A 17,122-nucleotide genomic window follows, 5' to 3' on the forward strand; every position below is an offset into this window, starting at 1 on the left:
CCAGTGTGCAGCATCCTCCTCGGAAAGAGACGGGCACCTGCAATCACGTGGTGGGGCCCACAGTGAGGTCCTGTCTGGGGCCTTATGCCCTGGTGGTACCTCTCACGCCCTCCCAGCCCCTTCTCCATCAGTACAGGGGTAACCGCTCCAGACACACCTGTTTGACCCCAAGGACAAACATGAGGGGCTGGAAAATGATGAAAGGAAGCCCAGTTCCACTCCTTCATTTCACACCACATGGACAGGTTCAGATAAGTGGGTCCCTGTGCCTAAAGTCACACAGCCCAACAGGGGCAGAAAAAGAAGGCGTCACTAGCCTTGCCCCCATCCAGCCCCATGTCCCCAAAACCCTGCTCTCTGACCCACTCTCAACAGCCCCTTGGTAAGCACGATCTCTGCTGCGCTCAACACTCCCCATTTTTAACTTGGCTAAGGTCTGTATACTGATGGGAAGACAAATCTGATGTAACACAGCCATCGATCTTAAAATGCTAAGGCCTCCCCAAATCTGACGTCTAGAAACGCTGGCCATGAGAAAGCTCCCTCACTATCCTCTTGGCTGAGGCCACTCCTGAGAAAAAAAGCCTGCTTGGCTGGTGAATTCTTGGCCTTCCCCTAACAATAGATTAATGCCTAAACTGGCTGGTGGAAAGTCTGACGGGAACAGAGATTCCGCTGCTGTCTGTCCACTATTCAAGGCCTCTTTGTTCTCGGTTCTGCGGATCAGTCCAAATGCCTCTCGCCCGGGGCTATCTGATTCAACTGGGCTCAGCAGCTTTTCCTGACTGGTAACCACACAACCAGGAAACAATGGGTCCACACACAAACGGAAAAGACTTCACACACCCCTGAATCTTTGTAAACTCCTATTGACAAAAGAAAAACTTGCAACAATAGACTCACCTAATTTACCTAATAGATGAAAAGAATCAGGTCACCAAATTGTTGATGCGGGAAACTTATTTATAGAAGGTCTTCTAATAATGCAGACAGAATCACAAAATAGCTGATCCTGAGCCTGGAACCACATGGACTACTCTACTGACCTGCAGCACAGACATCCTCTACTAACCTACCCTACTAACCTACTCCACTAACCGACCACCCAAAGCTACTCTACTAACCAACTACCCAAACCTGCTCTACTAACCTACTCTGCTAAGCGACCACCCAAAGCTATTCTGCTAACCAACTACCCAAACCTGCTCTACCCACTAACCGACCACCCAAGGCTATTCTACTAACCACCTACCCAAACCTGCCCTACCCACTAACCGACCACCCAAAGCTATTCTACTAACCAACTACCCAAACCTGCTCTACCCACTAACCGACCACCCAAAGCTATTCGACTAACCAACTACCCAAACCTGCCCTACCCACTAACCGACCACCCAAAGCTATTCTACTAACCAACTACCCAAACCTGCTCTACTAACCTACTCCACTAACCGACCACCCAAAGCTACTCTACTAACCAACTACCCAACCACTCTACTAACCTACTCTGCTAACCGACCACCCAAAGCTACTCTACTAACCTACTACGCAAACCTACTCTACTCACCTATTCCACTAACCTACCACCCAAAACTACTCTACTAACCTACTACGCAAACCTACTCTACTCACCTATTCCACTAACCTACCACCCAACTCTACTAACCTACTCCACTAACCTAAAACTCAAACCTACTCCACTAATCTACCACCCAAAGCTACTCTATTAACCTACTCTACTAACTTACCACCCAAACCTACTCTATTAACGTATGTCACTAACCTACCACCTAAACTTACTCTACTAACCTACTCTAACTTACCACCCAAACCTACTCTTTTAACCTACTCCACTAACCTACCACTCAAACCTACTCCATTAACCTACTACCCGAAGCTACTCTACTAACTTACTCCACTGACCTACCACCCAAACCTACTTTATTAACCTATGCCACTAACTTACCACCCTAACCTACTCTTTTAACCTACTCCACTAACCTACCACCCAAACCTGCCACAGGGCAGCACACACGGGGTGACACAGAGCAGCAAACACGGGGTGACGCGGGCAGGGCGTGTGTGGTCCCTTTACGGCTGCTGGATCTCCAGGCCTTTCTAGGCATCCTTTCTCTGGTGATGTCCAGTCCTCTGGTTGAGCCTGGTCTCCAGCTCTGGCCTGCCACAGCCAAACAGGCTGAGGAAGAAATGGCCAGGGCAGGGCAAGGCAGAGCGGGCAGCTCCCAGCACCTGCCACCAGCAACTTGCCACAACTCCAGCCCAAAGAGGGGTTCTTATGGCCGTGGAGGAAGCCCAGCCCCGAAGACCATACCTCGCAGATGGCATGTGAGGGGCACACCCAGGACACGCTGACAGCCACGCAAGGTCCCTGCAAAGGCAAACACCGGGCACAGCAGCCGAGCTGAGACGCCAGGGGCCAGGGGCTGGCTGCACTGGCGCAGTCATGGCTCCTTAGACGAGCGAGCCAGCCTGGGGCCCTGCGGCCATGCCTCCCACCTGAGTTACTCGGAAGGGGGCTTGCTCCACACCTTCTCACACCACCTGCTCCCCGTGTGGGAACAGAGCCAGGGGAGGCAGCCACCCACCTTCACCCCTCAGCCACAGCCTGGCAATCCCCTAAGAGGACACCCCATGGAGAAAGGCCCTCCCCAGGCAGCAGCCGGCAGCACCCAACCCAGCCAGGCTCTGTCCCAGGCCCTCCTGGGTCTGTGCCCCTGCTCAGGGTCCTCTCCCCAGCACGAATCCTTACATAAACCACACAAAGCCTGTGTGCCTTGAGGGTACATGGAACCTAAGAGGGGACACTGGCCTTGCAGGAGGCATCGAACTCCTCGCCGGTCCCCGCCGACCTGCCTGCTTGGCTCCCTAGCACCCCTGTGCCTCTAACAGCGGCCTCCAGGGCCTCTCTGGATTCTCACCACAGTCCTCCAGTTTCAGCCCCCACGGCCAGCTGTTAATCCCTGAACATTTTCAAGTTCAAGTTCTCAGGAGACAGCACTGGCTGGGCTAAGCCTGACCATCAGTGACTAGCACATGGACCACTGTCCTGGGTCAGGCGCCCACCCGGTTCCAACCAGCTGCGGTCCAGGAGGACCAGGTCATGTGACACACATCGTGAACACTGGATTGGTCAGGGTTCTCCAGAGAAATGGAGACCACAGGATGTGTGTACATGCGTGCATTGTGTGTGTGTGTGTGTGTGTGTGTGTGTGTGTGTGTGTGAAAGAGAGAGAGGGAGGGAGATTCAGAGAGAGAGGGAGGGAGGGATGCAGAGAGGGAGAGAGAGAGAGGGAGGGATGCAGAGAGAGGGAGATGCACAGAGAGAGGGAGGGATGCAGAGAGAGAGGGAGGGGAGGGATGTAGAGAGAGAGAGAGAGAGAGGGAGGGATGCAGAGAGAGAGAGAGGGAGGGAGGGATGCAGAGAGAGAGGGAGGGAGGGATGCAGAGAGAGAGGGAGGGAGGGATGCAGAGAGAGAGGGAGGGAAGAATGCAGAGAGAGAGAGAGGGAGGGAGGGATGCAGAGAGAGAGAGATGCACAGAGAGAGGGAGGGATGCAGAGAGAGGGAGGGATGCAGAGAGAGAGAGAGGGAGGGAGGGATGCAGAGAGAGAGAGAGAGAGGGAGGGATGCAGAGAGAGAGAGAGGGAGGGAGGGATGCAGAGAGAGAGAGATGCACAGAGAGAGGGAGGGATGCAGAGAGAGGGAGGGATGCAGAGAGAGAGGGAGGGGAGGGATGCAGAGAGAGAGATGCACAGAGAGAGGGAGGGATGCAGAGAGAGAGGTGGGGTTGAAGGTGAGAAGAGAGGCAGAAGGGAGGTGTATTTTAAGGAGCTGGCTGAGATGGTGGTGGCTTGGCAAGTCCAGAGTCTGCAGGGAGTGCCTCGCTCCACGCTTTCTCACACCACCTGCTCCAGACCAGAGCCTGGGGAGGCAGCCGACCACCTTTGCCTCTCAGATACAGCTCTCTCTGCATCTCTTTCTCTCTCTCTGCATCTCTTTCTCTCTCTCTGCATCTCTTTCTCTCTGCATCTCTTTCTCTCTCTCTCTGCATCTCTTTCTCTCTCTCTCTCTCTCACACACACACACACACACACACACACACGTACACATATCCTGTGGTTTCCATTTCTCTGGAGAACCCTGACCAACCCAGTGTTCGCAATGTGTGTCACATGACCTGGTCCTCCCGGACCGCAGCTGGTTGGACCTGGGTGGGCGCCTGACCCAGGACAGCAGTCCTCATGCTGGCCGCTTACTGATGCTACAGCCCCGGGGAAGCATGGTAGCTGCAGCTCCAGTCCAAAAGCCGCCTCTGCTGGTGGAATTCCCTCCTGCTCCGGGGAGGTCAGCCTTTATTCCGTTAAGGCCTTCAACTAACTGGACGAGGTCCACCCACACCACAGAGGACAGTCGGCTCTACTCAAAGTCTCCAGATTTAAATGTTACTGTCCTCTAAAAACCCCTTCACAGAAACATCCAGAATAATGTCTCAGCACATATCTGGGTGCAGTGGCCCAGCCAAGTCGACATAAAATTCAGCATCACAGGCAGGCAGGCAGCGTGGCTGAGGATGGGGCTCCTTCACTTAGAAGGTGCAAATGTGGCAGGCAGCTGAGATGAAGCCAACTTAGAAGTGTCAGAATTCAAACAACTGAACGGGAATAGTTTCAACAACGGTACGGGTTAATTGAGGTGGTTCCTGTTCAGAAAGACCCAGTGTGCTCTTTGAGTTGAGCAAAACAAATGGATGAATCATGTTAATCCCACTGGGCATTCATCCAGGATTCAGCCAACCAGCAGGCAGGAAGCCCCTCTTCACAAACCAAGCCCAGGAAGTAACTGACTCCAGGCTCTAGTGAAACAGATTGAGTTTTGCTTGTTGCTTTTCTAAAAGCCTCAAATTGGCCGGGTGCGGTGGCTCACGCCTGTAATCCCAGCACTTTGGGAGGCCGAGGCGGGCGGATCACGAGGTCAGGAGATCAAGACCATACTGGCTAACACAGTGAAACCCCGTCTCTACTAAAAATTAGCCGGGCTTGGTGGCGAGCGCCTGTAGTCCCAGCTACTTGGGAGACTGAGGCAGGAGAATGGCGTGAACCCAGGAGGTGGAGCTTGCAGTGCCACTGCACTCCAGCCTGGGAGACAGAGAGAGACTCCGTCTCAAAATAAATAAATAAATAAATAAAAGCCTCAAATCAGGCTGTGCTTTAATGACCTCCACTGAGGAAATGAATCATAAAATGGAATCAAGAAATATTTATACCAAATAGTTACTAAGAGACTCAAAGGGGATCTAACCTAGGGGAATTCCCACATACACATCACTTGTTAGGAAGGCGAGAAAGGCAAGCCAAGCTGATGAGTGAATGAGGAAACGCTTTTTAAAGTGCTAAATAAGACAGTTTTATAAATGAGAAAATACCACAAGACAGAGTTAAGCGAGAAATAATGAACCCGAGAGGTGTTGACAATGGATGGGCTGAAGATGAACTATCAGGAAGTTTCTGAGCGAGCGGACACAAAATAGAACATGTAAGAAGAATAAAATTAAGCCAAAGCAGTCCCTCTTGAAAGCTCTCCACGTGGACGTCTTCACTTTACCTCAGGTTATTCCGGTCAGCAGCCAGCATGGCCGTTCCCTCACCCCAGGACTGTGATGCTGACGCAGTCTCCTCTCTCGGCACTGAGTCCTCAGAGTCCTGGTGGCTTGGCAGTCCCTCTCCCATGAGAAATTGAGAACAGGAGAATCTCAACGCAGAATCCATTGCGTGCAATGCATGGGTTATCCCAGCATCCAGATTCTAGCTGGCTGTGATCCTCAGAAGAACTGGGAACATATTCACCCAAATCATTTTCTTTGGAGCTTTATTTTCTCAATAACCAGTTGAAAAAGACTGCTAGACACAGAACTCTGAGGAACTTCCCAGCAAAGGAGGCTTCTCTAACCTCCCCTCAAAAAATATAAGAAAGTTGTATTTTAAAATCAGTGCATTCTGAACTTAGGAGAAAAGAGGTGTGCGTCTACAGGTGGGGCTCCTTCCACAGCTATCTCCTTCTCTATAACCCTCTAGCTAGGCTTCCAACACTATTCTTAAAATATGGGAGGGGGGTACGAGGAAGCAGGGACAGGGCTGTGGCTCCAGGGGCACAGTGTTGCAGGGCACGGTGTGCCTCACAGCCTGACCCCTTCTGGACCACAAGCACCTGACAGCCTGCTGCTGTCACCACTGTGGGACACTTCACAGTGATTCCAGTAGTGAGGGATGGATGGATGGGTGAATGGGTGGGTAGCTAGATGGAGAGATGTATGTGTGGATGGATGGATGCACGCATCATGGATGGATAGATAGGTGGGTGATTATGGATGAATGGACAGATGGATGGACTAATGAATGGACAGATGAATGAATGGATTAATGGATGGATGGATGAATAGATGGATGAGTGGTTATGGATGAATGGACAGATGGACTAATGAATGGATACATTGATGGATGGCTGACTGGAAAATGGATGAGTAGTTATGGATGAATGGACAGATGGATGAATGAATTAATGAATGGAAGAAAGAATAGATGGATGAGTGGTTATGAATCAATGAACAGATAGATGGACTAATGAATGGAAAGGTGAATGAATGAATGCATTAATGGATGGATAGCTGGAGGGATGGATGATGAATAAATGGATGTGTGGTTATGGATGAATGGAAAGATGGATAAACTAATGAATGAATAGATGAATGAATGTATTAATGGGTGGGTGGATGACTGGATAAATAGATGGATGAGTGGTTATGGATGAATGGACAGATGGATGAACTAATAAATGGGCAGATGGATGAATGAGTAAATTAATGGATAGATAGAAGAATAGATGGTTGAGTTGTTATGGATGAATGGACAGATGGATGGACTAATGAACGGATGGATGGATGGATTAATGGATGGATAAATGGATAGGTGGTTATGGATGGACAGACAGATGGACTAATAAATGAATAGATGGATGAATGAATGGATTAATGGATGGATGGATGGATGGATGGATGAATGGATGGATGAAAGGGGGGTTATGGATGGATGGGTAAACGTGAATGGATAGGGTGACATGGGCACTGATCCAGGAAAATTATACAATGAAAAAAACATGCACAAGAAAACAAATGTTCAAGACTAACATCAGCCGCCTGTTGCCATGCCAATACAAACATCCCACGTTTGAGTAAGTTACAATCATGAGTAACTGTATCTGCTTTAATTGATATTTTAAAAGTTAAAAGTGTTGCTCTGCTGGTTATAGATTTTTAGAAATATTTGCTTCATGCCAGGATGCAACAAGTTTCATCTTATTCCCAAAAGGAAGCTTGGCTATGACTAGGAAAAGGAGCATAAATTTAATGACAAGGACTTCAGATAAACTGCAGCCTTTGTTTTCCACTGCTGAAACACAGACACTGTCGCATTTTGTCTCCAAAGCCATGTTTCTTTCCCACAACAATTCTCAGTGAAGAAATCTTCCTGCCTGAAAGTTGTTATAGTCTTATTTTTGTCCCCACAGAAAAATATTAATCTAAGAGTTTCAATCCGTGCTAAGTCAAAATTTTTCCATCTCTACCAACATCAGCCTTATATTTTATTTAAAGTAAGTCTGAATTTCCGTTTTTTTTTTTTTTTGGTCAGAAAGCAATATTTAATAGAGACTTACACAGAAAATATCCTTTTTATAGTAGGTTCTTTTGACAAAACATGTAGAGTTGGTCACATCTCAGACTTTCTTGTGAAACTTGTGACCACTGAGGAGGTTAGATAAGCATCTTTATGAGTGTTTATCTATGCTGCAGTTTAAAGATCTTGCTGCAGAACACCTTGGTATGGAGGAGTCAAACATTGATCATCATGGTGGTTTTGCTTCAAGACGGCACCACTCTGCCATTCAACAGACTGCTCTCCTACAAAGAGACGACCCTTTCCTCATTGTGTATTCTTGGCACCCTTGTTGAAAGTTAGTTGATCATCTATGCCTGAGTTCATTTCTGGGCTCTGTATTCTGTTTGTTTGGCCAATTTGTCTGTTTTTATTCCAGTACTATAATGTTTTAATTATTATAACTTTGTAATATAATTTGAAATCAGGAAGTGTAATGCCTCATATTTTGTTCTCCTTTCTTAAGATTGCTTTGGCTGTTTGGGGTCATTTGTGGTTCCATGCAAATTTTATAGGATTGCTTTAATTCTGTTTCTGTGAAGAATGCTACTGGAATTGTAACAAGAATTGCATTGAATGTAAAGATCACTTTGGGTTGTGTAGATAGTTAAACAATATTAAGTCTTCTAATCCATGAGCACAAGATAATGCTCCATCCATTTGTTTCTTCAGTCTTTTCCCATCAATGTTTTATAGTTTTTAGCATTCAGTTATTGCATCTCCTTGGTTAATTTATTCCTAATTATTTTATTCTTTTTGATGCTATCATAACAGATTGTTTTCTTGATTCCCTTTTTGGATAATTTGCTGTTGGTTTAAAGAAATGCTACTGACTTTTGTATGTTGATTTTGTATCCTGCAACTTTACTAAATTTATTAGTTCTAATAGTTTTTAATGGAATCTTTAGGATTTTCTATATATAGGAATGAACAGAGGCAGGCAGCAAAAGCAAAAACAAGCAATGGGGAAAGGATTCCCTATTTAATAAATGGTGCTGGGAAAACTGGCTAGCCATATGTAGAAAGCTGAAACTGGATCCCTTCCTTACACCTTATACAAAAATTAATTCAAGATGGATTAAAGACTTAAACGTTAGACCTAAAACCATAAAAACCCTAGAAGAAAACCTAGGCATTACCATTCAGGACATAGGCATGGGCAAGGACTTCATGTCTAAAACACCAAAAGCAATGGCAACAAAAGCCAAAATTGACAAATGGGATCTAATTAAACTAAAGAGCTTCTGCATAGCAAAACAAACTACCATCAGAGTGAACAGGCAACCTACAGAATGGGAGAAAATTTTCGCGACCTACTCTTCTGACAAAGGGCTAATATCCAGAATCTACAATGAACTCAAACAAATTTACAAGAAAAAAACAAACAACCCCATCAAAAAGTGGGCAAAGGAAATGAACAGACACTTCTCAAAAGAAGACATTTATGTAGCCAAAAAACACATGAAAAAATGTTCATCATCACTGGCCATCAGAGAAATGCAAATCAAAACCACAATGAGATACCATCTCCCACCAGTTAGAATGGCAATCATTAAAAAGTCAGGAAGCAACAGGTGCTGGAGAGGATGTGGAGAAATAGGAACACTTTTACACCGTTGGTGGGACTGTAAACTAGTTCAACCCTTGTGGAAGTCAGTGTGGCCATTCCTCAGGGATCTAGAACTAGAAATACCATTTGACCCAGCCATCCCATTACTGGGTATATACCCAAAGGACTATAAATCATGCTGCTATAAAGACACATACACACGTATGTTTATTGCGGCACTATTCACAATAGCAAAGTCTTGGAACCAACCCAAATGTCCAACAATGATAGACTGGATTAAGAAAATGTGGCACATATACACCATGGAATACTATGCAGCCATAAAAAATGATGAGTTCATGTCCTTTATAGGGACATGGATGAAATTGGAAATCATCATTCTCAGTAAACTATCGCAAGAACAAAAAACCAAACACCGCATATTCTCACTCATAGGTGGGAATTTAACAATGAGAACACATGGACACAGGAAGGGGAACATCACACTCTGGGGACTGTTGTGGGGTCGGGGGAGGGGGGGAGGGATAGCTTTAGGAGATATACCTAATGCTAAATGACGAGTTAATGGGTGCAGCACACCAGCATGGCACATGTATACATATGTAACTAACCTGCACATTGTGCACATGTACCCTAAAACTTAAAGTATAATAATAATAAAATAAAAAAGAAAAATGTCTATTCAAGTCCTTTGCCCATTTTAGCAAGCTTGTTTGTTTTTTGTTTGTTTTACTGAGCTGTATGAGTTCCTTACATGTTTTAGATGCTAACCCCTTATCAGATAAATAGTTTGCAAATATTTATCTCCCAACCTATAGGGTGCCTTTTCATCTTGTTGATTATTTCCTTGGCTGTACAGAGCTTTTACTTTAATGTAGTCCTACTTGTTTATTTATTTTTGCTTTTGAATTTCCGTTTTTATTGTCCGTAATTCTTAGCAAAGACTTAACATAGATCTATGTGAGTATGACACTTTAGAAATCGAGAATTGCTTTTTAAAAAATAAAGACAGGGCTTTGGGAAGGGAAGGGCACACTCACGGATCATGTCCTGGACCCCCGGAAGGCAGAAAGTGTTGTCTCAAAAGGGAAAATCAGATGTTTCTTAAACACATAGGTCTGGTCGGTTAGACAAAATTGCCATTCTCAAATGCAGTGAACACTCTGCTTCCTTGTAATTTCCTGTTTGCATCCAAGTATCTGCTTCAACTAAAGTCAGCATATCAAGTAACCGCTGACGCTGACCAAGCCCTGCGAGCACACACAGCCCACCCTCCACCCGGAGAACCGCCACCGCCCCGTCACAGCCATCCCAAGTCCCTCCTGCTCCCTCCTCCTGAGCCTTGGACCAGCGGCTGCCCCTCCTTCAGACAAAGTTCTTTGGCCTCATATTTCAGTTTATCGCACTTAAATGTGCAGGATTCCATGCAAGCCGTAACGTAATAAGTAGCATCCATTGCAAGAGCAGCTACTGTGCTTGGCTGTGCGCTAGGAGGTTTGCACGCACAGCCTTCCTCACTCCTCAGGACCCCTACAGATGGGGAAGCCGAGGCTTCAAGGGGTGCGGTCACGTCCTCAAGGGAGCACATCCGGAAAGCACAGACCAGGACCCCAGCTCAAGGCTGGCACATGCCCTGCACCTGCTGCCAGCTCCACCACGCAGGTGCATTTTTCCTCAGCCCTCAGTTAGGCAGCCTTCCCATCCCTCTCAAGAACAGTCTCCACCGTGTCACACCACAGGTCAGTGGAGTCCAACCCCCTGCCCACCAGACCCCCTGTGAGTCAATCGCCGAGAGCCAGCTGAGTTCATCTCCATCCCCAGCACCTGCCAGCAGGGCCTCCACGTGGCGTGTTCTTTCTGACTTCCTAATAGTATAATTAAATATAACAACTTTAGAGTTGATCTAGTCTGAAAGGCAAGATATTTTCTCCCCTAAAGAAGATTGGTTAAGGACTGCTAAACTGTTCACTGTCTTGTGCTATTCTGCACAAGACTGTCCTGTTCCTTCTTTTGTTCTCTCTTCTTTGAGACAGGGTCTGGCTCTATTGCCCAGGCTTGAGTGCAGTGATGCAATCACAGCTCACTGCAGCCTTAACCTCCGAGGCTCAAGCAATCCTCCTGCCTCAGCCTCCAAGTGAGTAGCCAGGACTACAGGCGTATACCACCATGTGCAGCTAATTTTTGTATTTTTTGTAGAGACGGGTCTCGCCATTTTGCCCAGGCTGGTCTCTAAATCCCGAGCTCAAGAGATCCATCCGCCTCAGCCTCCCAAAGTGCTGGGATTACAAGCGTGAGCCACTGCACCCAGCCAACTGTCCTGTTCTCAACAACTAATGTAAACCCTGCAGCACAGATTCCGAGGCCGGTTTCGCTTGAGGCGGTCACACGGCAAGGGCACCTGCTGGCAGGGTCCCTGGGCCCTCAGCACAGAGCCTCTCTCTAGGAGCTACCAGCCGGAGAATACAGTCCCTCCGCATTATTTGCAGATTCCAAATTTGTGACTTCACCTCGAAAATCAGTACTTGGAGCACCTCCGCCATTATCTGCGGACAGGCGCAGAATGGGGAAAAATCGGAGTCACCTGATACCCAGGTCCACAGCTGAGCTGGTAAAGCTGACAACGGCCCTCTTGTTTCCACTCTCCTGCCGTAAACAGGGTCTTTTTCAAGGTCTATTTAGGGCCACGCATTTCACACTTTTTGTGCTTTTGTTGGTGATTTTGCTATTTAAAACGGCCCCAAAGCACAGTGTTGCCGTTCTGGCTGTGCTGCCCTCACGAGGAACAGGTGTGGTGGAGAAGCTCCACTCAGGAATGGGGGACAGTGTTCCCGGCCACAGCTCGTTAACAATGTCAGTGAATCAACAATGTACAGAAACAAAGTGTCCTTCAACAGGAATGCACGCGAAACAGGAGGATTTGAAAAAACTTTTGTGGCCACAGATATAGCCCTGCGAGTCCTCTAGAAGCGAGACAGGCCGAGCCCTCTTTTATTCAGCATTCTGGGGCTCTGCAGAACAGGACCACCATGGCTAACCAGGCTCCGCCCCGGGGAACAGCAGGCAGGGCGCTGGGCTGGCTGCTCTGTGAGCTCCTCCCAGTGCGGGGCCCGGTGTGACTATGGGTCTGGTAAGAACAGCTGACTGTGAGGCAGAGATCAAACAAGACACAGACAAGCCACACGGTGCGAACTGTCAGAACCTGGGATAAAGACAGAGCTGGCAAATAAACATACATGACAGGCACAAACGCTAGATGGTTTGGCTCTCAGGGCATACCGAAAATCAAACCATTTGCAGAAAAAACAAATTGTAAGAATCAAAATGCAGTCACTCAGCAAAGAAACATGAGCACTTACACAGGCTGTATTTCCACCATCCCGGGGTCAGAGACGGTGCCTTCAGCCCCTGACCCTCCCTTCAGCCCTCCCTCCTGACCCATTACAGGCTCCCCAACGAAGGTGCATTCTATATTAGTCCTGTAGTAAGTCAGTCACCACTGCTCAGCTACAGAGAACATCCATCCGCAGGATAATATGAACAGGGGCCAGGAAGAAAACACAACAGGGAAAGCCCACCGTAGGCCAACCACCATCCCTGGTGCAGATCAAAACCTCCCAGAATGTTCCTACAGCAGGGTGGGGGAGGGGGGTGAGGGATAAAAGTCTACACGTTGGATACAGTGTACACCACTCGGGTGATGGGTGCACCCAAATCTCAGGATTCACCACTGAAGAACTTATTCATGTAACCAAACACCACCTGTTCCCCAAAAATCTACTGAAATTTTTTTTAAAAAAAGATTTCTCTAGAAATGTGCCGTAAAAACAATCTAGACAGACACACACAAAAATGCATGCAATCACATTTTGGAAATATTGTTTGCAGGAGCAGAAAAGTAGAAACAAAGAAATGACCCATAATAAAAATTCTGTTAGGCAGATTTGGTCATTTCAAACAAATACTGTGTGGTCATTAACAATGATGATGGAGGCCTCTAATTATTGAACAGACACACAATCATAATATATTCCCAGATTTTAAAACCATACAAAGTGCATTATAGAGCAGAACATGTATCATGACCCAATTTTTGAAAATAGATACATGACAGATAAATATTAACAGGTAGACAAATACTGCTACGTACTACACACGCCTGAATGCTTCTGTGTGTGTGCATCTGAGAACAAAGCCCAGCTAATGTTTCTCCTGAATGACAGCAATGTGAGTAATTTGTTTCACTTTGTTCCTGTTTATTTTTAAATTTTTCTAACATGAACATGTGTAACTTGCATAAAAATATTTTAAAAATATGTTGTAAAAGAAAGCTGGATGATGCAATTAGTGGGTAAAAGAGCAGGCATCATAATTCTTAGCTTACAGCTTGTGGAGAAAAAGCTGCTGAGCCCTTGTGGCAAACAGGCCTGGCAGATTATACCCCTCTGTGTGCCCAACCAAACTCCACACCTACAAGAGGTGAACAGGGATGGGCAGTTGAGGGGTCCTGGGAGAGAAGGCAGTGGGGCAACTTTCCAAAGCTCTTACAAATTCATACACAACTTTAGAATTGCGCTAAGTAAACAGGAAGAGCCGGGGCTCCTTGGCTAAAGGGCAGCACCGCAGTCAGGCTCAGGGTATGGCGGACGGCCCAGCCACAGGCAGGGGAGGAGGCATGGTTTACATCTGAGTAAAACCACTTAAACATCCAGCTCCTGGTCCCCAGAAGCCAATGATCCAGGCTGAGAATTAGGGATTCCTGCTGGCTTCCTTCTAAGCCTCCACTGGTGACCCATTACTTCTCTAATTACCCAGGGCACATGTGAGGTCAAACCCAAATCTGTCCCATCCCTTAGAGAAAAGTCTTCAGTTAAGCAACTAGATTACAAGCAATCCGGCTGTGACCTATGGTTCCAGTCGCTGAAACCATTCTACCCTTAGCGCAATAATCACACTGGGCCATGATGCATAAACAAACTGCCTTTAATCCCCAAATGATAACAAAATGCTTCCTGTGAGAAGAGGAGGGAGAGAGTTTTAAAACTATCTGTGGTAGTACTTGCTACAGCCCACATTAGAAGCTGGGTTGGGAGGTGGTAAAATCACTGTAAGTCCCAGAACACAGAAGCAAGCAAAGGGAATATCAACATCACAGACCTCTCTGAAAAGTGATAAGCAGGCAGAGCTGCTCCATCCTTGCCAACAGAACACTGTTGAGAGCGCGCGCGCACACACACACACACACACACACACACATGAACTAGTGAGAGGAAGTTTTAAGAGAGCGAGCAATAATTGTGTGCTATTAAACTTTGGGACAGCTATGGCAAAAACTGAGAAGCTCACGGTCCACTTCCACTTCCTGGACATGCAGCTGACCTCCGCATCCCAGCACCCTTGCATCTGGGCTTCCTGGACAGGCAGCTGACCTCCGCATCCCAGCACCCTTGCATCTGGGTTGAGACGTGTGCTGTCTCTCCAGTGCGCTGGGAGCAGAAACAGCGCATCAGCTCCGAGCAGGTGGGAGCAGAGAGCCTTCACATAACCTCCTCTCTCCCCTTCCGTGACAGCTTCGAGGCCAGGGATGGATGATGGTGGAGCTTCAGGCGGGGCACAGCTGGGATCCTTGGGTCAATGTCAGAGCAAACATGTTCTTACCAAGCCAGACTAAACAGCTTGGCTTGTGACAACTACTCACCTCTGCCTCTGCCAGAAGTGGGCAGCCACAGACGAAATGGAGACAGATCGGCCTGACACATCCCACAGAGCTCAGGCACAAAACACGCAGCTATCCCAAGGCTTAGAGCTGAGCCTCCAGTGAAGAGCTGCCCAGCCAAGAACATTTGCACGGGGTTTTGTGTGAGTGGGGCAGGAACTCACACTGTTTTAAGGCACTGAGGTTCTGCCATTGTTCAGGACACCAACTAAAGCCGAATGGCCCTGACTAAGGCAACAGCATTCCAAAGACAGATGGAGAACACCAGGATTGAGTCATTTTCATCTTTTCTTAAATATGAGCTTGGGAATGTGAATGTGGTCATTATTTTATGATGTTATTTATTTTACCACACCTGCTTGCAGAAGAATTCAGAGATGTCTGCTTTAGAACAAGATGGGATTATAGGGGCAAGACTTTCTCTTCTGTCTGAAACAACCAAAAACCAAAAAAACTGACAAAATATATGAAGCAACTGTTTTCAAGTTACTGGGCATCAGCCAACAAAGCACTGATCCGTGTGATGGAAAACAGATGTAGCCAGCAGAAAACGGCCCCAGCTCATTGCCTAAGAGAGAAGACAACGCTGAGAACCCGGGGAGGCCAGGCAGCAGACCTGGCAGGACAGAGATGGGACGCCTGAGCCCTCCCGGGATAGGGAGAGAAAAGGCCCAGGGGCCTGCAGAGCGTCCAGCACTGAGCTGAGCCCTGAGCTGCACAAACTGCCCACAGCCAGAAAAGAGCCACCCAAATGGAGTAGGGATCACAGGGTCACACACACACGGGGCCAGAAGGATCACAGGGTCACACACACACTGGGCCAGAAGTGAGCAGTGCCGTTCTCATCAGCCAGACTGAAAACCTCATGATTCACAGGCAGTTGGTATGGGACATGGAAGGGCCTTGCCTCAGTTGTTGAAAACGATGAGCCTTAGTAAAGCACTGCTCCAATCCTGCCCAACACATCTTAAAAGCAAGACCTTAAAGAACCAAACTGTTTCCATATAACTGTACCAAGTACAAAGCTCAAGGATAATTATAAGAAAACAAAAATATCCAGTGCTCACCAAAGTGAAATTCCATTGTCTGGAATCTGCTTAAAAAATGATATGGCATGAAAGGAAGGATATTACAATCCCTATTGAGAAGATTAAATTATTCAATTAAAACCAACCCAGAGCTGCCACAGATGTTAGAGTTAGCAGATTATTAAAATTGTATTTATTCCACAAGTTCAAAACACCAAGTAGTCATGGAAGGTTTGTTTTTAATACCCGCATTTTCTAGAGGTGAAAATCACAATGTCTGATTTGAAAAACATGTAGAATTAACAGCAAATCAGACATTGAGAAAGAAAGACTTGTTACTTTCAAGACAAAAAATAGAAACTACCCAAAATGAAACACATAGAGAAAAAGGCACAGTAACAAAAAATTAAGCAATGGATGAGAGAGCTGTGGCCTAATACACGTATAACTGGAATCTTCAAAAAGAGGAGACAAAGATGGGGACAGAAAACATATCTGAAGATGAAACACCCCCAGATTTTCCAAATTTGAAGAAATCTGTAAACCCACAGGTCCAAAAATTTAAAAATAAAATTAAATAAAAAATTAAAATCAAAATTTAAAAACCCAAGCACAAAAAACACAGAGAAAACCACACCAAGGCATATCATAATCCAATTGCTCCACACCAGGGATAAGGAGAAAATCTTAAAAGCGGCCAGAAACACACAGACGTTGTACTGACACGATATGGGTGTCAGTAGATTCCTCATGGGAAACAATGTGAGAGGACATTTTTAAAGCGGTGTCGGCTGGGCGCAGTGCGGCTCACGCATATAATCCCAGCACTTTGGGAGGCCGAGGCGGGTGAATCACCTGTAGTCAGGAGTTCGAGACCAGCATGGCCAACATGGTGAAATCCCGTTTCTACTAAAAATACAAAAATTAGCCAGGTGTGGCGGTGCGCGCCTGTAATCCCAGCTACTGAGGAGGCTGAGGCAGGAGAATCGCTTGAACCCGGGAGGCGGAGGCTGCAGTGAGCCGAGATGGTGCCACTGTACTCCACCCTGGGCAACAGAGCAAGATTCTGTGTCAAATGACAAAAA

The 17,122-nt window shown here is 46.8% G+C and overlaps 1 protein-coding gene across 4 annotated transcripts in view, besides 3 other annotated features; it reads right to left on the reverse strand.

Annotated features, from left to right (window-relative positions):
* Positions 1 to 17,122, reverse strand: part of PXDN (peroxidasin) — a 113,015-nt gene that overhangs the window by 84,745 nt on the left and 11,148 nt on the right. The gene's annotated exons all lie outside the window — the stretch shown is intronic.
* Positions 11,477 to 12,159: an enhancer, noted in NCBI's record as "H3K27ac-H3K4me1 hESC enhancer chr2:1731880-1732562 (GRCh37/hg19 assembly coordinates)". NCBI's record gives its function as "activates a minimal SCP1, AML or CMV promoter by ChIP-STARR-seq in naive H9 embryonic stem cells {active_cell/tissue: H9 hESC(naive)}" and the evidence as "EXISTENCE:reporter gene assay evidence [ECO:0000049][PMID:30033119]".
* Positions 12,160 to 12,842: an enhancer, noted in NCBI's record as "H3K27ac-H3K4me1 hESC enhancer chr2:1732563-1733245 (GRCh37/hg19 assembly coordinates)". NCBI's record gives its function as "activates a minimal SCP1, AML or CMV promoter by ChIP-STARR-seq in naive H9 embryonic stem cells {active_cell/tissue: H9 hESC(naive)}" and the evidence as "EXISTENCE:reporter gene assay evidence [ECO:0000049][PMID:30033119]".
* Positions 13,770 to 14,375: an enhancer, noted in NCBI's record as "OCT4-NANOG-H3K4me1 hESC enhancer chr2:1734173-1734778 (GRCh37/hg19 assembly coordinates)". NCBI's record gives its function as "activates a minimal SCP1, AML or CMV promoter by ChIP-STARR-seq in primed H9 embryonic stem cells {active_cell/tissue: H9 hESC(primed)}" and the evidence as "EXISTENCE:reporter gene assay evidence [ECO:0000049][PMID:30033119]".

The sequence above is a fragment of the Homo sapiens genome, chromosome 2, assembly GCF_000001405.40.
Source record: "Homo sapiens chromosome 2, GRCh38.p14 Primary Assembly".
In the NCBI taxonomy this organism is placed as follows: domain Eukaryota; kingdom Metazoa; phylum Chordata; class Mammalia; order Primates; family Hominidae; genus Homo; species Homo sapiens.